Genomic DNA, 25,383 nt, shown 5'->3' with positions numbered 1-25,383 from the left:
CCTTTCAATCAGGTCCATTGTAGGTATACTAACCAGGGGAAACCAATGACCCAGGTCTATTCTTAGCACAGCTGTTAACTTAAGAAAGCTTCTTGGAACTTGGAGCTCTCTTAGAACCAGACTTTACCAGGTTACTAATTTACCAGGTTACTAATAGTTTTGATCCTCTTTGAACTTGCCTTATGCTTGAATCAAATTGTCTTAATCAAGTAGCCACTCATCTGATGCTCTGAAGACCATCTTCATAAAAATCCTGTAGCTTAATAGGCTTTGTGTAGACAGTACAAGAACTGTAACCCATTGGAAACTAACCTCATCAAAAACAAAGCAGAGATATTGCAAAAGCAGAGGTGGAAGAGAACGTCTCAGGGCACAGATAAAATCACCTATTCGCCCATGGGTAAAATCAAATTCCTCTTGAAAATGAAAATTCTTTTCCCATCCAGAGTGCATTCTCTTATACCATGTACTCAAGACATTCAGAGAAATTCCGTTTCTTTTTCTCTAAGAAAAAAAAATTAGTTTCATCCTTCTGCACTGTGAATTTTGCCTCTTTTGAAGCAAATGGTACTGTTGAAGAATGGCGACTTGGTACGACTGGCAATACTTAAATAACAATAGTGCAAATATTTTAGAGGGGATTGTAAAGGATTCAACATTTTTATTTAAACTCAAGGTTTATTAAATACTTGCCTCAACTCATGATAAGGCATTTTCCTCCCTCTGCCTCAGCCTCACAAATCATATTTCATAAAGGACATCATTCTTAGAGTTTTCAATTCATGAAGATATGGATCCTTGAGTTGATTAGAACATGGGTTTTAGAGTGAGCTGGACTTCAGGTCTAGGTTCCACAAAACAGTACAGCGTGATCTTGCGGAAATTTCTCAGTCTTGATTTTTCTCAACTGTAAAATGAGGCTGCTACTACTTACTTCAGGGATTGCTGGAGGATTACACAAAACATTTTGGGTGCAACAGCACTTGCACAAATAAGCACTACACTAGTTGAAGGGTTAACTGATGCTATTATTATGTAATCAAAAGGCCAAACTTTTCTGTAGATTCTTCCCTCTACTGCAAGGACTCAAAGAAAAGGCAGCACATTTTTCGAAGCTCAGAAGTTCTTTTTGATTTCTCAGTTCTGAAAATAAGAGATGACTTCTACCTTCAAGAGAGAATTGAGCACATGTCCTAAAGATGCTGTTTTAGAGAAATTGGGTATAAGTTAAAATTTTTCTTGTAAAATTATATTTCAAATATGCCTTGGCCCACCAGTCAAAGGATCCTAATGCTAACTTCTATTGTAAATGGCAATAGATTGCCATTGTAATGGTTACAATGGTTACAATAAATAAATAAAATGTAACAATGGTTACAATGGTTACAAATGAGGTTACAATGGTAACCTCAATTGTAAATGGCAATTGATGGGCTATCTGGGGTCAAATCCTCACCTTTGCCACCCCAGCTTCCCCAGTCTCTTCTGCAACACATTTCCAAGAATCTCCCTCTTCACTTGTTTCTGGGCCTGAGTGGGCCAGTGCGAGATCCATGGTGAGACCTAGAAGGGAGAAGAGGAGAGACTATTACTCTCCAGAGGCATTTTCAGGCCAGCGTGTGGGCTGATCACACATGAATGGTCTATGGTTGCTACTGGGTGAGCTCCTGCTAATTACCTGCTTTGGTCCTGCAAGTGGCTGCTGTAGTTGGTAATGGCTTTTTGAGAGTCATTTGCTTTAGTGCAGGCTGAGAGCCTCCGGAAGAGCTCTTGAGAACCGCTCACATAGTCTTGCAGACTGGGATAATGGGTGATGGCTTCCCTGACCTTTGTTCCCCAACCCTACCAATGTTTGTGTAAGCCTCTACTTCCCTCCATTAAAGCCCTTCCTCCATAGAGTGACTTCTGTTTTCCTGACCCAACTTTAACCAAAATGGACAACATAGTGTATTGAACACTAAACTTAGAGTCAAAAGACCTTATATATTATGGTTATTCCATATCATCCCATATTGGCCTAAATCATTTTTTAAAGGAAATTTTCATTTTCCATTTGTGGATGTAACATAATTCATTTAACCAATCCTCTGTTGAAGGACACTCGGTTTCTCATTTCTGATTTTTCTCTGTTTTAACACCAATGAACATCCTTGTATACTTTGCACACTCATGTGAGCATATCTGTAGAATAAATTTCTGGAAGTGAATGCTGTGTCCCCAAATAGTAGTATCAATTCCAAAAATAGTATGTAGTTTTTACTTTTGTCCTTTAGAAACCACCTGTGTGATTAGGTAAATTAATTAATCTGGGCCGGGCATGGTGGCTTACGCCTGCGATCCCAGCACTTTGGGAGGCCAAGGCAGGTGTATCATCTGAGGACAGGAGTTCGAGACCAGCTTGGCCAACATGGTGAAACCCCATCTCTACTAAAAAGACAAAAATTAGCTGGGTGTGGTGGCGGATGCCTGTAATCGCAGCTACTCGGGAGACTGAGGCACGAGAATCGCTTGAACCCAGGAGGTCAAGGCTGCAGTGAGCCAAGATCGTACCACTGCAGTCTAGCCTGGGTGACAGAGCAAGATTCTGTCTCAAAAAAATAAAAAATAATAATAATCTGTGTTTCACTTTCTGTGTCAGAAACCCTCTGACTTTTTCTAAGAAAAATGTTTTCTGTTATTTATGTCTAAGGTAGTAACAGCAATAGTAATAGTGATAGTATAATCACTGAAATCTATTTTCTTTCTAGAGGATCAAATTTAAAATATCATAAAAGTATTTTCCTTTTCTTTGTATTTAAAAGTATGTATATCATTCAAGGATATCTGATTGAACTTTCACTAAAATGTATCAGGAAAGTCCTGTTACCGTGTGTGAGCTGGGATACAGAGGTCATGAGGTGAGATCTCCTTGTTTCATGCTTCTTTCTTTCTGCAATGCCAGGACTATGTGGGAGGACAGTGTTTACATTTGTGGCCGGATATATATTTGTGTGGAAAGCAAGAAATGCTTGAAGCATTATTTCAAGTTCATAAGAAGTGTGTGCTGTTATTCCTTGCAACTACTATCAACATGTATGGCTTCCACAACAAAATTTTTCCCCTTTTTTCTTTATCATCACTGGATGGAAATATACAGCTTACTGCTAAGATCATATTTCCAGGTTAGTGAGGTAAGAGTTCCTAAATCTTTATTTATTTCAGATCTCAATTATGAGGCTATATTGCAAGTTTGATAGTGTCTAATCCATCATAAGTACTCAATAAGTATTTGTTAAAGAACAAATGGTTTCATTAACTACAGAATGCATTGCAGTGTATTTTTCCACTATAAAATTTCTACCACCTTGAAGATATCAGAAAAGTTTCCTATATTCCTTGCCATTGCTTTTCTGCTCTCAGTTTAAGAGACAGCTTGCCTCTCATGATCAACTGCAGAAAACTTTGTGGTTTTTTGTTTGTTTTTGTTTTGTTTTGTTTTGAGACAGGGTCTTGTTCTGTTGCCCAGGCTGGAGTGTGCAGTGGCATGATCATAGTTCACTGCAGTTTTGAACTCCTGGACTTAAGCTCAGCTGGCACACATCACCATGCTCATTTAATTAAAAAAAATATATATATATATATTAGCAGAGACGAGGTCTTGCTATGTTGTCCAGGCTGGTGTCAAACTCCTGGCCTCAAGCAATCCTGCCACCTTGGCCTCCCAAAGCGTTGAGATTACAGGTGTAAGCCACCTCAACCAGTACCCTCCCTTCTTAAAAAATAGAGATAGGGTCTCATTCTGTTGCCTAGGCTGGAGTGCAGTGGCACGATCATAGCTCTCTGTAACCTAGAACTCCTGGCCTCTGCCTCAGCTTCCCCAAGTGCTGGGATTATAGGCATGAGTTGCCACACCTGGCAAGTGCAGGAGAACTTATAGAATCTTACAGAATTGGCCGGGTGAGTGGCTCACACCCGTAATCCCAGCACTTTGGGAGGCTGAGGTGGGAGGATCACTTGAGGCTAAGAGTTCGAGACTAGCCTAGTCAACATGGCAAAACCCTGACTTTTCTGATAATACAAAAAAAAAAATTGTCAGATGTGGTGGCATGCACCTGTACTCCCAGCTACTCAGAAGGCAGAGGCAGGAGAATCACTTGAACCAGGGAGGTGGAGGTTGCAGTAAGCCGAAATAGCGCCACTACACTCCTACACTCCAGCCTGGGTGACAGAGGGAGACTCTGTCTAAAATTTAAAAAAAAAAAAAGAATCTTATAGGATTTCTGGGTTAAACTTCTTTTTTAAAAATGCCAGAAGATATGCTAGCTGTTTTTTGAATGGAATGTTGTTGCACCTTGCACCTCATTTTTTTTTTTTTTTTTTTGAAATGGAGTCTCGCTCTGTTGCCCAGGCTGGAGTGCAGTGGCGCAATCTCCGCTCACTGCAAGCTCCGCCCCCCAGGTTCATGCCATTCTCCTGCCTCAGCCTCCCGAGTAGCTGGGACTACAGGCACCCGCCACCACACCCGGCTAATTTTTTTCTGTTTTTAGTAGAGACGGGTTTCACAGTGTTCACCGGGAAGGTCTCGATCTCCTGACCTCGTGATCCGCCCACCTCAGCCTCCCAAAGTGCTGGGATTACAGGCGTGAGCCACCATGCCTGGCCGCACCTCTATTTTTAAGCAGGACAAAATATCTTTGGAACAGCCAAATAAGTGAAGAGTGTTGAACTAATTGGAAGAAGATGAAACTTAATGGACTCCCCTCTGCTCACTTTTTTCTTATCCTTGGATTTGATTTTTGAATAATTTTATTTGGAGAATGATTTGGTGATACCCTGGAAGAGATTCGAGGGATTAACTGTAATGGCCAGTTGGTCGCAAGCCACGTAAGGAACCTCACATGATTCAGAGTGTGAACCATTCCTAAAACGGAAATTAGAACTGAAATTTTCACATGTAGACCTAGCGCTAATGGGAAATCAACATAGAAAAAGTTACGTTGCAACTGAAAACATTAGGCTTGGAAGCCAGACACATCACACTTTGATATCTTACAAGTTGAGTCACTTTAGCCAAACAAGTTTCCTCATCTTTACAACTAGGTGATAATGCCGTCCTCCCAGGGATGCTAATAGGCTGAAATAAGACAAACAGCTTGCAATAGACACATCCTGATATTCTTCTGTTATCATTGAGTGTGTTTGCAGGTTGAAGAACTCAGACAAGGAATGGATTTTTATATATTGGTCCCTCTCGCATTCAAATTTGTAGTTAGTAGATCAACAAAACATAGGCTTGATGAACCAACCCTTAAAACTATAGATACTGCCTTGTAATCTGTTCCTACACATTTATTTCTTATAACAGGGCTTAGGAAAATTTCTCTTTCAGTTTTAATGTTTCTCACTTGTTAAGTGAAGGTGTTCGCATAAGAGGAACTTCTAGGTTCCCACAACTCTCTAAGAGGAAGCTTATGCTGTTTTTGTTTCACTGTTGGTCCAACACAGGTCACAACTTTGGATTATTTTCCCTCCCAGTCCTGAACCCTCTTGGAAACACCCTTATTCTATGTCACCAGCCCCCATCCCTTATCTTGATAAAAAATTTGTTCAGATTGTATCTTTGGCCTGTCTATAATCTCAAAATAGGGGAGCCTCAAACACACATTCCTAGAATTTAGAGATAGCAATTTGTGAAATCATTAAAACTAGTCACAGTTTATGGCAAAAGTTTAAAAAACAAAACAAAACTTGTTGATTTCATTCACGTCTAAAAAATATTGTATTCATTTTTGTTTTAACCTCAGTGTTAGAAGTGAAATATGCAGACTGTGAAGCTGGTAAATGTTGGGGCATATATTTAAGGCAAAATACACTGTAGTCTCCTCAAAGCGCAGGAAAGAACAAAACTCTTATGCCCTGGATGTATGCACTGCACTGTTTGTAAAGGAAAACAGCTTCTCTCTGGGCCCAAGAGAAGCAAGAAGTGGAGGGACTGGAATCCCCCACAATGCAGTGATTTCCTCTTTTTCTATTCTTAGGCCACAGCAGTCTCTAAGGATATGCTAACATGTTCTTTCCTCACCAAACTCCCTGAGGAAAGGGTCCAGAGGAATGGCTCATATCAAGGGTCCTAGAACTTGGAATGAGGAAACCTAGAACTTGGAGCCAGACCTAGCAACTAGAGGGTAAATCCAGTTTCCCCAGTAACACCCCATCCCTCCCTGGGTGCAGTCCCTCAGCGATTAATCTAAGCTTCTGATACAGGTTATAGGGGCAAAGAGATAAAGGGCTAGAATTTCCAAGACTGGGTGGAGTTGAGGCTCAGAATTCTCAGCCTATTCCCCCCAGGGCGTACCATGCAGTTAGCCTGCCAGTGTGGGGGTGGTGGGCCGCAGGGAAAGTAGTGAGGGTGAGCTATGCCACTCACAGAAAGTCAAGTTGGTAACCAGTATGGGGTTACCTATGATATCGAGAAAGGGGCCCCCACTCCCACATCTTTTGCACCAGAGTCCCCCTCCCTGGTTAGCCTAGAAATGACCTGGACTCCAGCCTTCGGCTCTCTCATCTGCCTGGCACAGCCCTGCTACAGCAGCATCCTGAGGTGGAGGGCTCATCTCAGTAGCTCCCCCTTCAATAGCTAACTGCTTTTTGCTGAACAGTAATGCACTATCTCAGTTTGTTTTCTGTTCGTATTACAGAATACCTGAGGCTGGGTAATTTACAAATAAAAGAAATTTGTTCCTTACAATTCTAGAAGCTGAGCAGTCCAAGGTTGAGAGGCTGCATGTGGTCAGCTTCTGGCAAGGGCCTCATGCGGGGTCATAGCACGGCAGAGGCGCCACAGGGCAAGAGGGTAGGAGCCCGAGTGTCAGCCTGGGTCTCTCTTCCTCTTCTTAGAAAGCCTCCAGTCCCATCATGGGGGCCCCACCCTGAGGACTTTATCTAATCCCAACTACCTCCCAAAGGCCCCACCTCCAAATACCATCAACATATGAATTCTGGGATTCCGTTTCCGACATATAAAATTTGGGGGACACATTAAAACCATAGCCAATACTAATTTCTCAGAGCCCTCCAAAATATATTCCTAATTGACCTCTCCTTCTGTTTTCTTTTCCTTCCCAAACTATATCCTCTATTTCAAGAAACATCTTTATATAATTCCCAGAAATTACTCCGTGTTTTCCCACTTTCAGGCCCTTGCACTTACACCCTCTGCCTGTTTGCCCCCTGAATACTTGCTGGCAGAGCTTGTGGCCACAGTGTTTGGCCTTAGATAACTTTGCCACAAAATATCTCACTTTCATTGTTATTATTTTTGCATCGCTCTTGTATAGTGACCTTGGAAACAAAAGACATCATTCTATTTATAGCATTCTGGTTTTAGTAATCATATTTTCATTTTAAAAATATAGTAATTTTTGGCCAGGCACAGTGGCTCATGCCTGTAATCCCAGTACTTTGGGAGGCCGAGGCGGGCGGATCACCTGAGGTCGGGAGTTCAAGACCAGCCTGACCAACATGGAGAAACCCCGTCTCTACTAAAAATACAAAATAAGCCTGGCGTGGTGGCTCATGCCTGTAATCCCAGCTACTCGGGAGGCTGAGGCAGGAGAATCACTTGAATCCGGGAGGCGGAGGTTGTGGTAAGCTCAGATTGCACCATTGCACTCCAGCCTGGGCAACAGGAGCAAAACTCCCTATCCAAAAATATATATATATGTATATATATTTATTTTATATGTATATATATTTATTTTATATATACACACATACATATATATGTATATATGTGTATATATATGTGTATATATCTATATGTATTCAGGAGGCAAACAGGCAGAGGGTGTAAGTGCAAGGGCCTGAAAGTGGGAAAACACGGAGTAATTTCTGTGAATTATGTAAAGATGTTTCTTGAAATAGAAGATATAGTTAGGGAAGGAAAAGAAAACAGAAGGAACGGTCAATTCGGAATATACTGACTTTTGGGAGCCCGCCTCGGCCTCCCAAAGTACTGGGATTACGGGCATGAGCCACCACGCCGGGCCAAAAATTACTATATTTTTTAAATGAAAGTATGATTACTAAAACCAGAATGCTATAAATAGAATGATGTCTTTTGTTTCCAAGGTCACTATATAAGAGCAATGCAAAAATAATAACAATGAAAGTGAGATATTTTGTGGCAAAGTTATCTAATACATATATGTGTTTATATAACATATACATATATGTGTATATATAACATATACATATATGTGTTTATATAACATATACATATATGTGTATATATAATATACATATATGTGTATATATAATATATACATATGTGTATATATAATATAGACACATATGTGTATATATAATATAGACACATATGTGTATATATAATATAGACACATATGTGTATATATAATATAGACACATATGTGTATATGTAATATAGACATATATGTATATATTACATATTCACATATGTGTATATATTACATATACACATATGTATGTATAACATATACACATATATGTGTATATATTACATATACATCTGTGTATATATTACATATACATCTGTGTATATATAATATACACATCTGTGTATATATAATATACACATGTGTGTATATATGTGTATATAGAATATATACACATGTGTATATATTATATATGCATTATATATATTATATAATATATTATATATATTATATATACACACATGTATATATAATATATACACACATGTGTATATAATGTATACACACATGTGTATATATAATGTATACACACATGTGTATATATAATGTATACACACATGTGTATATATAATGTATACACACATGTGTATATATAATGTATACACACATGTGTATATATAATGTATACACACATGTGTATATATAATGTATACACATATGTGTATATATGTGTATATATAATGTATACATATTTATGTGTATATATGTGTATATATAATATATACATATTTATGTGTATATGTGTATATATAATATATACATATTTATGTGTATATATAATATATACATATTTATGTGTATATATATTATATACATATTTATGTGTATATATATTATATACATATTTATGTGTATATATATGATATACATATTTATGTGTATATATTGTATATATAATATATACATATTTATGTGTATATATTGTATATATAATATATACATATTTATGTGTATATATTGTATATATAATATATACATATTTGTGTGTATATTGTATATATAATATATACATATTTATGTGTATATATTGTATATATAATATATACATATTTGTGTGTATATTGTATATATAATATATACATATTTGTGTATATATTGTATATATAATATATACATATTTGTGTGTATATTGTATATATAATATATACATATTTGTGTGTATATTGTATATATAATATATACATATTTGTGTGTATATTGTATATATAATATATACATATTTGTGTGTATATTGTATATATAATATATACATATTTGTGTATATATTGTATATATAATATATACATATTTGTGTATATATTGTATATATAATATATACATATTTGTGTATATATTGTATATATAATATATACATATTTGTGTATATATTGTGTATATAATATATACATATTTGTGTATATATTGTATATATAATATATACATATTTGTGTATATATTGTATATATAATATATACATATTTGTGTATATATGTTTATATGTAATATATAAATACGCATATATAATATATGTGTATATATGTATATTTATGTGTGTGTATATATATAGAGAGAGAGAAAGAGAAAGTAATTCTTGATTGCTGAAAATGTCAAATCCTAGAAAATGTGACATTCCTACACGTGGTAACATTGTTCTCAAACAGTTGTTAGCTGAAGATTAATTTGATGAATCTGACTTTTTTCTGAAATAGACTATTTCAATGAATCAGACAATTCTGATGTTAGTTCTGTTTAGAAATAACTCCAAGAACAGTTTTTATATTTTATTTTCACATTGAAAATCAGTCAGATTTTCTTCAGCCTCAAGGAGTGTGTTTATGTAAAATTAAATGAGTGCTGGCAGAAAGCTGCACTTTTTTTTTTCTAAGTGGAGAAAGGGTTAAGGCTCTTTCCCTGTAAAATGTCTTCCCCTGACACGTTAACTTATTAAAAAATATGTTCTTCCTTCATAAAAATCTTTCCTGAACCTTCTAACTTGGTGGGATTTTTTTCTTTCTTTTATTTATCTGTTCTTTTATAATTTATGCCATACAGTTAGAAGTCACACTTGATGGCAGGTTTATCTTAGTCATCTTTGTACACCCAGCACACATGTCACAGGTTCTTAATAAACAGCTCCTGCAAAGGACTGAGTTGAATTTACTTTGCTTACCACTACTACAGATACGACCTATCAAGCATGGTGCCTGCTCTGGGAAGTCTTAGACACATGTTGAACGAGAGAAGACATTCAGAATTAATTAGATAGCCAATAAGAGCCTGTGAAAAGGTCCAAATTAGTGCTACAGACAGTGAGGACTAAATGAGTCCTTGGAGGACTGCATTTCATCTGATAGACTTGAATTTGGTCTTGGTGAATGGATTCCTTCCTTCCTTCCTTCCTTCCTTCCTTCCTTCCTTCCTTCCTTCCTTCCTTCCTTTTTAGCTAAACGCCCCAAGTTCCTTTAACCATCCCTCATATGACATCATTTCTAGATCCTTCCTCATTCTGATGGCCTCTGAGGACTTGCTCTACCTAGATGAGGTACCCTTTTTAAGTGCATCTCCAGAGTTGAGCACACTGCTCCAGATATATTTCCAGGCCAGAGGGCAATGGGACACAACCCTACCTCCCTTGTCCTGAATTTCTGCTTCTGTGAAGGCAGTCTGAGACCACACTGACTGCTGGCTTTTACAGACAGATGAACATGTGAACATTCCTGCCACTTTGCATACTGTGAGCACTTTGAAACTGTGGTTCTCCGCAGGCTTTTATGAGCACTAATTAATTAAGCATCACTACACCTTGGTGAGGATTGGGGAATCACTTCTTTTAGCATGGAATCACAGGCTGTTCCTGCATGGAATCCTAATATCATGCCCAGCTTTGAGACAGAGGGCTAAGACTATTGTATTCAATTGAAACTGCAGGGGGTATTTTAGGGAGGCAGAATGTAATTACTTTAGTTGGACTCCGGCCAGGATTCTGGAGTTAACACAACTGCTCTTAGAAAGTCTGCCATAAGATCTCTGGTGACCACAAATGGTTAGGTCTGTGGTTTTAAGTTTCATACAAAAGGTAAACAGCTCAGTGCAGACAGTGCCCCCTAACACCACGCGGGGCATCGATTCACATGGACCCGGAGAGGAGAGGCCACCTACTGAATGCGAAACACCATCTCCTGAAGTACCTACTTGTTCCTGGGAGGTCTCTCATCCTTGCACCAAAGCAGGCCAGCACTTACTTAGCTAGAAAGAACTGACAGGCTCACAGCACAGAGTGGTATGGCTGCCAGACTAAATTATGTGCTTGTCATTTTTCTCTGTGTTGTCCAAGATTCCAGCAACAAAACAGTAGGGAACTCCCCATACACATTTTTGCTCAAAACACATTGGTTTCTCCTCTCTGTAAAGTTCCTGGATCCCACAGTCCAAGTTAAACACAACTGGAATTTCCCTATAAGTCAAAAACAATATTAATTCTGAGCCCGCATATTTTTCTTTCTGTAGGGTATGTACACATTTAAACCCAGCACATGTTGCAGACAATCTGCAAATGGTAAAAAGCTCTGGAGGAACAAATAAAAAAGGAGAAATGCAAGAAAACATATTTTTAACAAGAGAGCAGAGGAGATTTGGTGGGATGTCTGACCCAGGAATGAGAATTTTCCTCTGTGGTCTGTTGAAGGAAGAGCAAAGGCTGGCATTATGCCACAGATTGATGGTTGGAGGTTTCTCTACTACACAAATCTTCAATGATGGTTCTTTCTCGGTGAGAAGCGAGGAGATTCTGGTAGACTATTAGCATGGCACATAGTTGAACTAATGAGTCCCTGACTCTGGCTATAAAGGAGATACTGACATCCCTGTTTATCTGAAGTCTCAAGACCACCATAGTCATCTTTTTCAAATTAAAATGGCAATACAAAGTTTTGTAAATGTTAGCTCTTCTAATTGACAGTGGCTTGTATAATTAAAATAAAGTCACTACTATTTTCTCTTGTTTTCTTTTTTATCACTGAAAGTTCATTTTTCAATAACTCAGACAAGGTCTTCATTTTTATGAAGACCCATGCTGACCCCTAAATATCTGATTTTTTTTTCAGTTAATGTTTGTGCCCATCTGGTTTGAATTTAGCATTCTTATGAGTCATTTCACTGTGATAGGAACACTCTGCTGTAGAAAACTTCTGTTAATATTTTAACATTTTAAATCAAACACCGCATAGAGCATTACCTAAGTCTCCTTGCAATTATGGAAAATCGTACCCTCTATTTGTTCGTGGTTCCTGCCTTTGCATTTATTTTCTTTAAATTGAACATAGTACATGGTAAATAAGTGCATATCCCATATGTGTGTTCAAATGCTTTACCATCTTGGGTCAACGTAGACTTTTGCAGCTTCCGAGCCTTCTGGAGGCAGCCTTTGCCTGAGGAAGGCTGAATAATTCTATAGGAAGTCAGATGGTCTTCACTTCTCATGGCTGACAACCTACTTAAAAGGGCTCGATTTATTTTTCGATCAACATTGACTTTATAACGTACATTTTATTACCCAAATTTCCTGATTTTGAAGCTTGAACTCATTTTCCTTTTACTGCTGGGCAACATTTCTCAAGGTAGTCTTTAAGGCGACACGAAGGAGGAAAAAAAATGCCAGAAATCTCTTTAAGAAAATACAGCAGTGTCTCCTCCACCTTCTTAAGCGAATGGATGGTTCCCAGGGAGGCTAGATTTGGTTGTGTACTTAGTCTGTAAATTGAATCTGCACATGGGATGGACATAATTTTACTTAAAAAAATAAAAAGAGGATTTTGAATTATTATTTGTCTATATTAAAAGTGAAGTAAGCATGCCTTAACTAGCCAAGCCATTTTGTCCTTTATTTGCTATATGTAAAATATTTCATCCTAACTTTGGAAGAAAAAAAATCTCCGTGGTTTAAATCAAGTGCTTCAGTAAGGAGCAGGTCATTTTTGAGGTATGTATGAGTTCTACACTTCACCAAAGATATAAATGAGCTCCTGCTCTGAATGAATAATAGGATTTCACTCCCCTGTTCCCCCATTAAAGTTTCTTGAGTTTATTTCCTAATCTGCAGGACTAAAGCTTAACAAAACAAAGTGCCTTACCTGGGCTCTGAGCACCAATTCCTTAAGACAACTTTATTCTAGTTCTCATTACATTTTAGTTCTCTGATGGCACTTGGAGAGGTTTAAATCAAAATAGGAAAAATAGTAACCGTTGACTCACAGAGGTGTAGCTCAGTTTTTCAGTCTTTGTTCAGGCAAAACATGTGTTAGAGGCTATGAAAGCTTTGCAAAATCCAAATCTGGGGATTTTAGCAGCCACATGCCATAACTGCAGATCCCAGGCTCTGGGCATGACAAATACGTTTGTACTTCCCATTAGCCATATTGTTGCAACCGAATAAAAAATGTAGTCTTTTTCACACAATTTAATTAGAAGTACCAGATGTGGTGTTGTATGACTGATGTCAAAATATGACACTTTTATGTAAACACTTTAACTTAATCAATCAAGTAAATAGCTTTCATTATTTTAAAGCATTTCAAATCTGCTTGGTACAAATGCATTATTTTTGTGTTATGCTAAATAGATCATGGCCAGCTGCAGCATTATTAAGAGATTAAGGGAATAAAGTTAGATTTTGCTATATTATTTTTCAAGGGCTGGCCTTTACAATTTCCTTCTCTGGGAAAGACGAAAAGAAGACAGGGTTAGAAAATCCTTTAATTTTGTGGTGCCAAAAAAAGTTCTTGAAAAAAAAGCTCTTTCTCCACCCCCATCAAATGTTATTAAATATATCTTTGCATTCTCCAACACTTTTGGGGGAAATTTGTTTTTTCTCTTGTTCTCTATATAGTAAACAGTTCATTGCTGAAGTAGCACACCCTCAGCAACATATTAAGTGTCCTAGAAGTTTGATACTCCCGGAAGTACAGCCTGGGAACAGAGCATTCAAAAACTAAGTCATTAGTTTCCAAGCACCTTTCCTTATCCTACCTAGTCTGAATTCTTTGTCAGTTCAAATTGCCCTATATCACTAGGGTCAATTTAACTTTATCAGCAAAAATTGTGCCACTGCCCAGAGATGTCCCTCTGTGAAGAGCAAAAGCTTGGGGGAAACAACAGGAAACTAAGTTGATGCAAGAAGCTCAAGATTACAAGCGTGAAATGAACTATAGTTATATGTTCCAAAAGTTATGTGAATCTTTGTGTGGTATTCACAATGAGGGGGGCTGAAATGGCACTCTGTGGAAAATACTTCAATTTAAGAAGATGCAAAAAGGAAATCGACTTTAGGCTTCTTCAGGGCAACAGTGGCTCAGAAGGATGTTTGAATGTGTGTTTCCAATAAACCTGTTTCTCACCCAGCCCTGCTTCCCCTAGTCCTCTTTTTCTCCCTTGCACTGGGATTTTGTGACAAAAAGAATTATTTTGGAGAGAGAGTGGTTGGGAGAAGCACAGTGGAAATGTAGAAGCTGACGTACGTAAGGCCAGTGTTCTAGAATATTCTACAACCTCCATCCTTGATATACTTTTGGAACAGTTATTCCACATTGTACCATTCACACTACGGTTTACAAAAAAACAAAAAAAAAAAACAAAAAAAACCATGTTTCCTGCAATTGGGCAAGGTAGTGGTTGTGCTTGTGGAAACTGAGTGAGGACAAAATGAAAATGAGAACATTAGCCTTGAGGCCCTGATTTTCCTTTAAGAACTATTGGCAGAGAGGAAATCTTCTGAAGAAAAGAGAATTCAATCTATAGCTTATATGGTTTTTTTTCTTATTTATTATGCTGAAGTCAAAACTTTTTTGTTTGGTTAAAACAATGGGATTGCTTTAAAACTCAAAACAGAACTCAGAATAAGCTGAATCAGTACATAATTTCTTCAGAATTCAGTTTTAAAAGCCAGTCATAAACTGTGAGTGATTTTGTGTGAGAGATGGGCAAAGTTAAATCCCTGCCTGGCGTCTTGAAAAAGGTTTGAGATTATTGAAAAGCCCATGTGCGCTGGGAGGCTCTTAGTTCATTTCCATGCCAAATTGGGACTGTTTTAGTCAGAGTAGCCTCCAGGGGTTCCAAATTAGGAAAATGCTGAGTGACCCGTGATTCAGCTTCATAATCATTTCTAAGTAAAAATTTAGTAATTTTAGCTCTTTGCTGCATTACCCAGAACCTGAAGCATCAGAAGGCTTTGATCAATCGCTTCCTAAGGTCCCAGTATGAAGGAGGCCTCCCAACTCCCTCTTCGGCACCTCCCTCTACCCGCTCCTTCCCTCCCTCCTTCCTATGTTTCCTGTGTTCCCTTTATCAAGGGCTACTTAATTTACTAATCCTACTTAGGTTGCAGGCATTACCTGAAGAAAACAATGAGTGAGGAAACCAAATGAACTTGCAAAGAAGAGGTGTAGGCTTTGTCCTCCAAATGGATTGATTTTCTGGACCACACACCTTGAATGCGATCAGTTGGGGGGCCTGCTTTTTAGGCCACTTAAGCTGGGGAACCGGGTTTTTCACGTGTTTTGAAAAGCTACAGGAGTCAGGTTGGCATTCAGATGATTTTGCTGTGTGAATCACGAAGTGCAAGAAGTCCTGGAGGGATTTATGATCCCCTTTCTCCGCATTTCCCTCCTATATATATATATATATTTTTTTAAGGCATCTCTGTTTACTTTGGCAAATGCATACGTCTAACTTTAAAGGTGGGTGGAGAAATTCAGGGAAGGAAGTGTGTGGGGTGGCGGGGCCAGGGAAGTGCAGTGGGCCAGCTGCCACCCTGCTTTGCTTTGCTGGAAGAGCAGAATCATCATCAAATGAATGTTTTGGAAATAATGTTTTTTAAACAGACAGAGACTGTAGAATTCTTTCTATTTCTCCCCCTTTCCCTCTGCCATCTTATGCTGGATTGGGGCAGGCAGATGCTGAGAGAGGACATAGGATCTTCATGGTGGATTCATGAATACTTCAGAGGTTGCTTCTAGAGCAAATAATTCCAAAAGATTTTCTATACCACTGCCAATGGTGATTGTTTAGGGTTTGAATACATTTTTGGGGTCTGTTTTGTAGCATCTTATTTTTTAGTGCTCAGCTTATATGGCAGTTTCCAGAAGATACTACTCTATTGCCAATCAATAAAGAGTTAATTTTTTTTTTTTTTTTTTTTTTTTTTTGAGACAGGGTCTTGCTCCATCGCCCAGGCTGGAATGTGACCTCTGGGGCTAAAGCAAACCTCCCACCTCCGCCTCCTGAGTAGCTAGAACCACAGGGGAGTGCCACCATGCCTGGTTAATTTTAAAATTTTTTTGTAGAGAAGAGGTCTTCCTATGTTACCTAGACTGGTTTTGAACTACTGGGTTCAAGTGATCCTCCCGCCTCAGCCTCCCCTGCTGGGATTACAGGCATGAGCCACTTGTTCATTATTTAATAATTAAAATGAACACTCATATTGCATCCAGCTCCTTCCTGTTTCAAAGTCTTTGCAAATGCTCTGTTTAGAATATTTTTACCTAACGCTACCTGATCCCCATGCCTCTCAACAAACATGCATTCATTTTCCATGGGTCTCAGCTTGAATGTCATGTCAATGAAGCCTTCCTTGACTCCTCCAGGCTGGGCTGACAACACTGTTACATCTTTCTGTGTGATGTACCTCTTTGTGATAACATGTATGTCAACTGTAATTTATTAACTCTTGGGCAATTAGTTATTTGTTTACCACTGGGCTTTCCTGCTAGATTGTAAGACTCTGAAAGCAGGACTGAATCTTGTTCACCACCATATCTTCAGGGCCTGACATTTGATAGATAGTCCATGAGTACTTGTAGAATAAATGAACAAACAAATGAGTGCCTGGCTTCCTACCAGATGACTGCTACTGTGAGAGAATTGCCACCATTTATGGGAGACCAATAAACTGCTAGCTCCAAACAAAACCACAGTCATAATGGTTACCCAGAACCGTGAAAAGCCAGTTTAAACATATTCATCGGAAATTCAACAGCAGAAGAAAAGATAAGGAAGAGGAGGAGGGTGTGTGATGGTCTCTATGTTTCTCTGCAGTATGCAATTAATGATTCTTTGCCATTCTGTTAAGGAATCTGAGTCATTTTCAAAGATCCTCACCCTTTTATGGTGTCCTTTCCCTTCAGATCTAGCAATATGTGAATACCTAGTGAATTTGTATGTTGAGAAACTAGATACTCTGAAATGCATTCACTCATTTATTCACTTACTCATTCAAGTGCATATTGAGTGTTGATTATGCAGTATCACAATTGCTAATGGGAGACATTGGGTAAAACACTTAACCTGCATGTGCCTCAGTTTCTTAAGTGTAAAATAGGGTTTATAGGATAAATGAGATAATACTTGCAGTAAAGCTTTTAGCACAGTGCCTGGCATACAGCAAGCTTTCACAGCTCGTGAATGACTGGCGCTGCAATGTTCAGGAGGATCTTTCCCTTTCTATAGTCAGCCAAGTTGATAAAATGACCATCAAGAAGAGTTTCCCACTGCACTCGTTCTGTGCTATGGCTCCCAGCTTTTCACGTGTTTTGGCAGAGCTACAGCATGTTCACATCACACCACTCCCAGCAGCATTTGTTTTTCTGCCTCTGTGGTCAAGTGCCACATGGAGTCCTCTCATTTATACCTTGGGGAGTTGGAGTGGCAGGACAGATGGTGTGTTGGCCATTTGCTGTCGTGCTCGGATTATATTGAGTTTAGGTGCTGCTGGATACATGGTTGAAGGTTTAGAGAAAATTGTTCACAATCTGTGAAGCATGTGAATTATATTCCTGTGACATTTAAAAAATTCTTGGCAGAGGAAAAAGTGTTGAGTGAAAGGTAATAATCCGCTGTTACCTTCCCCTTCATTTGACTGCTATAATAGCTGTTGGAAAGGCCTTTGAAAAATCTGCTGAATTAGACTCTTGCCATTGTGCCTCCCATTCATTAGATAGCCTCCTTATTCTTCTGTGCCATTTCCCACTGGCGGTCTGTGATTAAAAAATATTTTGAACACGGGCAAGCAATTGATGTTCAGTCCCCCAGTGATTCACTTCTTAACACAATAGGTTCTGCGTGAAATTGAGAACAAGTTTTGGTCATTACTTTTATGGGGGAACATGTTTCACAAGTGTCTGCTATTTCTTTAAAATTCTATCTCAGCCTTGTGGGAGATTATTTTTTGTTTATGGGAAAGTTTGGATGATGATATAGAAGTCTCTATTCAAATTTTTTGGAGACTTTCACCCAGATGGAAGAGGAAGAAAAAAAAAAAACCAACAAACCCTCTGAGACTTCATAACTTAGAACCATGCATATCATTTGTAATTTTTTCTAAGATGACTTTCATATCATTTGTAATTTTTTCTAAGACAATTTTCGGCAGTGCTCTTACTTCCTTCTTGATTTTTCTCTCACTTGTATCTTCACACTGACTGCGTTTATAAATACAGTTAATACTTACATTACACTTTTTTATGCATCAGGCATTGCCTGAAGAATTTTACATGAATTAACTTCACTGACACCTTACAACAACCTTATGATATAGTGATATTTTTAATATTATCCTCATCCATAGGCAAGGCAACAGAGGCAGAAATAACTAAAATAGGCCACTTAAGATCACAAGCTAGTAAGTAGGGGACCTGGGTATTTGAACACAAGCAGTCTGGCTGCAGAATAGTGCCAGCCCTTAACCATATGCTTCATTACCATTCACATCCCAGTATATGCAAAGCAAACCACAGACAGCCTAGCTCAGGCCCAAGGACTTCACCAGTAATTACAGAACCTTGCAGAGAAACCAGTGGCCTCTGGGTCTCAGTGCTGAACACTTTGCTCGTGTGCCCTTCAGTAGGCCATTCACTGAGCTGAACTTTGCTGCTTAAAGTAATACATCTTGGCTGGGCGCAGTGGCTCACGCCTGTAATCCCAGCACTTTGGGAGGCCGAGGCGGGCGGATCACAAGGTCAGGAGATCGAGACCATCCTGGCTAACATGGTGTGGTGAAAACCCGTCTCTACTAAAGATACAAAAAAAATTAGCCAGGTGTGGTGGCGGGTGCCTGTAGTCCCAGCTACTTGGGAGGCTGAGGCAGGAGAATGGCATGAACCTGGGAGGCGGAAGTTGCAGTGAGCCAAGATCACGCCACTGCACTCCAGCCTGGGTGACACGGCGGGACTCTGTCTCAAAAAAAAAAAATAAAAATAAAAAAATAAAGTAATACATCTTTAAAGATCAACCCAGTCTTTGTGGAAAAAGCTGTTAATGGAATAAAGTATTAAGAGAACTTTCTTCTCAGTGATGCACCCATTGAAGAAGGCAATTATCCAGAGTTGTATTTAAAATGTATAATTTCTTTTAGGCTTATAAATGCAGATCCTGTAAGTTAAAACAGATTGATGTGTGCATCTTTCTCTTTTTTCTGAGTAGTATTATTTTAAAGTACTATATGTCTTAAATTGTGTTTTTCAATGTTAAAGATTGTCATTAAGTGGAAACATAGAAATTCTATGTGACAGGCACGGTGGCTCATGCATGTAATCCCAACACTTCGGGAGGCCGAGGCAGGTGGATCATGAGGTCAGGAGTTTGAGACCAGCCTGGTCAACATGGTGAAACCCTGTCTCTACTAAAAATACAAAGATTAACTGTGCGTCGTGGTGGGCACCTGTAATCCCAGCTACTCGGGAGGCTGAGGCAGGAGAATTGTTTGCACCTGGGAGGCAGAGGTTGCAGTGAGCCAAGATTGTAGCATTGTACTCCAGTCTGGGCAACAGAGTGAGACTCCGTCTCAAAAAAAAAAAAAAAAAAAAAAAAAAAAAAAAAAAAAAAAAAAAAAAAAAAAAAAAAAAAAAAAAAAAAAAAAAAAAAAAAAAAAAAAAATTCTAGAATGAGTCCACTCAGGCCATTAGAAATGGAACTGGCCAGTTCTATCATTTGCCTTTTCATGTTTGTTTGCCTTTTCATGTTTGTTTGTTTGTTTGTTTTAACGAATTCAATTTCCTAAACTCTTATTTGGTCCAGTAGGATGATACGTTAGACAAAGACTGAGTTTACTGACTTCAACATCTGTTTTAAGAAATGTGCCACTCACCTTTAGTTGGAAGCTGCTAAGTTTTACCCCTAGAATGAGGTACACTTTGAGCAGTTAAGGTGAAGATTTTACCAGGCCCTCTTAAATGTTCATACCTTTTATACCTTCCTGAACAGAGCTCTGGGGATAGAGCAATGTGGTCTTGGCTATTAAAGATAGTGGGCCAGGAACACTTGGTCACAATAAATATAGGATCCTTCTTTCAGCTTTCTCTGTGGTCTTAAAATGAATCTACAAATTTAAAAATGTGTCATTTCCAGGATTATGATAATCCTAGGTAATGAGACACTTTCACAAACCCTACATTGTCAATCTGATGCTTGCTCATTTAAAAGGCCATATCCAAATGAGATTGAATTGTGTTAACTGTACAGTTTCCTGAATTCAATTCATGCCAACACCAAAAAGACTTAAATCAACAATATTTACAAGGTATCTAATTATAAAATCATAAAAGCAAATGAATTTATTGAATGTTATTTTAAGAAATTGTCCACCACTCTGAAATCCTGCAAAATCTTGGAGAGTAGAAATAAATTAGGGCAAAGTCCAAATATCTGTGGGCTTCAGCGAGTCTAAAATCTTCTTTCCAAATAATAACATTTATTGGTATGTTTCTAATTTATAAAAGTTATTCATGCTTATTTTAGAAAACTTGGAGGGAAAAGGAAGAAAACAAAACCATTTTCGATCTCTCTCATGCTTGAAATCTTGTCATCCAAGAAAAAAGCAACTGTGTGTATTCTGTTGAGGGTCCTTTTTCAAAGTGACTACATTATTGAATTTAACACGCGTTTGAATTTAAAATACAAACAAGAATATCTGATAACAGCAGCAATTACAATGACTCTATACTATAATTTCTAATGCTAGGACACTCCAATTTAAGATACACCTTTCCTTATTTACTTTTTAAAAGTTACTTTTTCCAATTGTGAAAGTTACATTTTAACTATGGAAAATTCGAAGAGCATGGGAAAAAAAGTCACACAGTCATCCTTACTTCTTCTCAGGACAAGCAGTAATATTGATCTATTTTTATCTAGCGCTAAAGCTTTTCTTTCTTTCTTCAGCAGGTGCTTTCTCAGAAATAGGTTGCTCAGGTCCTCTTAGAAAGGCAGGCAGATTTGGCAATGTCAGATCCTGGACCAGTATTTGGCAGACTAGCACTGTGTTAGCAAACAGTTTCGAACAACTGTGCTCTCTGGGTAGGACTGTGGGTGGAGTGTCTAGGAAGGGAACTGAAAATGATCTGTGATGAAAGCAAATTCAAATATGTTGGGAGCTGAGTGATCTGTCTATCCACAGCTCATATTTGCCACTGGTACTTCTTTGATTGAGATAAGTGTCATCTTGTCCTCATTCCAGCTTGTGCTTCACCACAATGTAGTTTTCATTTCCCAATCAGCTTGTGAAAATAACCAACCCAGCCTAATTGAATCAGGCACATAGTAGGTCCTATATAAATGCGTATTGAGCTCAACTGAAGAAAACTAAACTTAGAATCTGGATGGCAGTCTTATTTAAGAATATCAAATTGTTTTGTAGAAAGACCTATAACTGGGGCCAGGTGCCATGGCTCATGCCTGTAATCCCAGCATTTTGGGAGGCTGAGGCGGGTGGATCACAAGATCAGGAGTTCAAGACCAGCCTGGCCAATATGGTGAAACCCCATCTCTAATAAAAATATGAAAAAGTAGCCCGGTGTGGTGGCATGCGACTGTAACCCCAGCTTTTCAGGAGGTTGAGGCAGGAGAATTGCTTGAACCCGGAGGCGGAGATTGCAGTGAGCCGAGATCGCACCACTGCACTCCAGCCTGGCGAAAGAGTGACACTCTGTCTCAAAAAAAAAAAAAAAAAAAAAAAGAAAAAGAAAAAAAGAAAGACCTATAATTGGACTTAGTGAACGGATAGATCTTTTAAACAAATGTGGACATAATTTGATATGCACTGAGTGAGGTGCTGATGACGACAATGGAAAAGGAGAAAATGGAGGAAAATGTGAAGGCCAGAAAGAATTATTCATTCAGCAAAGCGTTATGCTTATTTCAGTATATACACATCTGCACCTGTATACCTGTAAATAAAATATTTTACAAAAATGTCTTGGCTGTGGTGCTGATAAGCTTATTTTTAGAGAAAAAGTAAGAACTGAAAATGCCAAAATATAGAGAACGTCAGATGCCAAGAAATATGCTCAAGGAATAGAAAACCATAATGAGAAAAATGTTACATTTATACATCAGCAGAAATCTTATTTTTGCTTTCATGAATTTTAAAGTTGCACTGATTTGACTCAACTCATTTCATTAACATCTAATTTCTGCTTAGGACTATTAATGACATGCAAATGACTTATCTGAAATGAAGGCCAGCCACTCATATGTTTGGAGAATTTTTTTTCATTCATTGGGAAATTCCTTTAATGTTTGGAAAGTATTAGCTGTGGATACTGTCTACTTAGCACAGAAAATCAAATCCGTGAAAATTCTTCTGGTTCAGCAGGTGCTCTTTATCATCTCTGAGGTCCCAAGACTCAGAGGGTCTACATTTCTGAATGGGTGACCTAGGGACTACCTATGTCAGAATCACCTGGGTACTGACTTCATGCACATTCTGCTTGATAGCATGGAGATTCCTGGGCCTCACCACAAGTCAACTAGAGGAGAATATTTAGGTATGAGGCACCAGAAATCTGGGTGATGTTTATGCACACCAAAATTGGAAAGCTGGTGTATAATAAATGCTAGGAGATATTTGTTTAAAGTTCCTAAGTTATGTAAATCCAGAAGAGAGAAGAAATGGAGTACACTGGTTCTTTCACCAAAGGGAGTCACTTACCCTTTAGTCTTAAAATTAGTTTGAACACACTGAGAGAGAGATTAAAAAAAACCTACAAGCAGAGGGTGAACTGATACTCAACAGAGGAGAAAACCAGGAGGTTTACTTCTCCAATGAGTGATTCTGCTTTTTGATCATTGCAATAATAATGATCAATGCCATTTTTTGATTCCTACTTTATGTTCAGCCCTTTCCATATACAACTGTAGGGGATCTCACCTGATCTTCTCAATAACTCAGTGAGGCTGATCCATCTAAATAAAGATGATGAGGCCACTGAGGTTCAGAGAGATTAAATAATTTGGACCAGGTCTCCCTGCTAGTAAATTGTAGAGATAGAATCTCTTTGATTCTAGAACCTGGGATCTTAGCCCCCAAAGCACAGTGCATTCACGACTTTTATAAACCATAGCTTTGGGTGCACCTCCTCGGGAAAGAGCTTTAATTGAAATGTTTTGTTCCCCTCTTCTCCGCCTTTCTTGAATAATCTACCTTGAGCAGTTGGTGTCACACACAACATTTTGGGACCTGGTAGCCCTGTCAAAACCACAAGCAGAGAGAACTCAACACTGGCTGTTGCCATCTCCCATTGCTTTCCAGATTTGGGGCTTTACTATTCTTTCTAATCATGATGTAGGACAAGATGTAAATGCTGACTGTGAGTAGCGAGACAGTGCTAAGTCAAAAAAAAATTGTAAGAATGCTGGTAATAGTCTGTATCATGGTCTAGGTGCTGCTTACATGGATAGATTCAGTTTGTGAAAATTCAATAAGGTGTCTACTCATGAAATATGCACTATTCTGTTTGTGTATTACACATAGATAAAAATTTTAAAAATAAACAAAATTTGTAGTCTTATTTTGAATTATGTAATTGGCTGCTGAAACTCACCACCTCTGGCCGTCTTCCACTGGTCCCAACTCCCCTTTTGTTACCAGATCAACAAACAATTTTCTGGTGAGAAAATGGTAAGGTAATTGTTCCAACAACTGCAAATATAAGTATTTGTTAGACCAAAGACTCAGAGTGGAAGTTAACCCTGGTGAAGGAAATGGGCTGCTTACCTGTTAAATTCTTTTCATCTCTTGGTTTCAGTAATCTTAAAAGTTTTGCACTTTTTTCTATTATGTTGACACATTGGGTACTGAGTGTGCAGACCTGAGGCATCTTGAGTGTGCTTTAAAATTTTTTGCTTAAGTAACCCACAAGACTCCTACATTCTTTAGTTTTGCCTGTATTGAGAATCAGCAGTTACTTTTAAGTTTTAATAAGTTTCACATGTTTTGTAGTGAAACTGTGTTTGGTTAATTCCAATCTTTAATTAGTAGCCTCTGGATTGGTGTATACCAGACACAGGGATGTTATTAGTGCGAACTGAAAGCTATGTGTGTTCCTCCATAACAGATCAAAACAAACCTTGTGTGCTCTGACAGCATTAAACCCCACTGAGACCTGACCAGGATATGGTTTTCAGTTGTAAAAGAAAATTGTAATTCACAAGTCCTTGCCAGATGTTGTACCCCAATATCTCAGCTTCATTACATCTACCCCAAAGTAGGTGGTGATATGAGGGTTACCCAAAAGGGACCTGTTTGGTTTTTAAAAAATCATTTAAAAATTAGGTCATTGAAAATATTTAAAGTGGGAAAATTGGTGCATCTTGTTTTTTTAAACTTTGTAATTAAAAATCTTTTGGGATGGCAAATTTTGGGGAATGTAAATATTACTTTACAGTTTAGAAGATAGCTTTGAAATCCTCATATATAAGGTACATTTTCTTGACAATGTTGAATCAAGAAGAAAATTTGCATCTACAAAATATAAAAAGATATTAAGATAAAATAAGTGGAAATGAGCAAACTTGAATGAAAACACAGATTAGGGATCTGGTGTCTGTTTCAAGAAGCAAACGAAAGAATTCTAAGATTTTTCTTATCTCAAACTTGTGCCACATTGTGGATGCTACCAAGTGCAAAATTACAAAAACTTTGATTAGCTTGACCAAGACAAAAAGAGCTAATGCATTTTAAAAAACTAGTTTGATTGGCAGTGGCCTCTGAAGTGTGGAAAGGTATCAGATAAAGTTCAAATGCTAATGTAAATGGTATATTTACAAGTGGTTCATGTGGTTATGTCAGGATGGTGAGATTCCACCTATCTTGGAGTTTAACACATGACTGTGAACGCCTAGACTC

At 38.1% G+C, this 25,383-nt stretch overlaps 1 pseudogene, besides 1 other annotated feature; it reads right to left on the bottom strand.

Moving 5' to 3' along the window:
* Positions 10,965 to 11,074: an enhancer, noted in NCBI's record as "active region_6610". NCBI's record gives its function as "activates an Ori minimal core promoter by ATAC-STARR-seq in GM12878 lymphoblastoid cells {active_cell/tissue: GM12878}" and the evidence as "EXISTENCE:reporter gene assay evidence [ECO:0000049][PMID:35858748]".
* Positions 11,390 to 11,507, bottom strand: RNA5SP362 (RNA, 5S ribosomal pseudogene 362; annotated as a pseudogene).

This window comes from Homo sapiens, chromosome 12 (assembly GCF_000001405.40).
Source record: "Homo sapiens chromosome 12, GRCh38.p14 Primary Assembly".
Classification (NCBI taxonomy): domain Eukaryota; kingdom Metazoa; phylum Chordata; class Mammalia; order Primates; family Hominidae; genus Homo; species Homo sapiens.
Note: the sequence above shows the minus strand (reverse complement) of the source record. Positions and strands in the feature narration are given on the sequence as shown.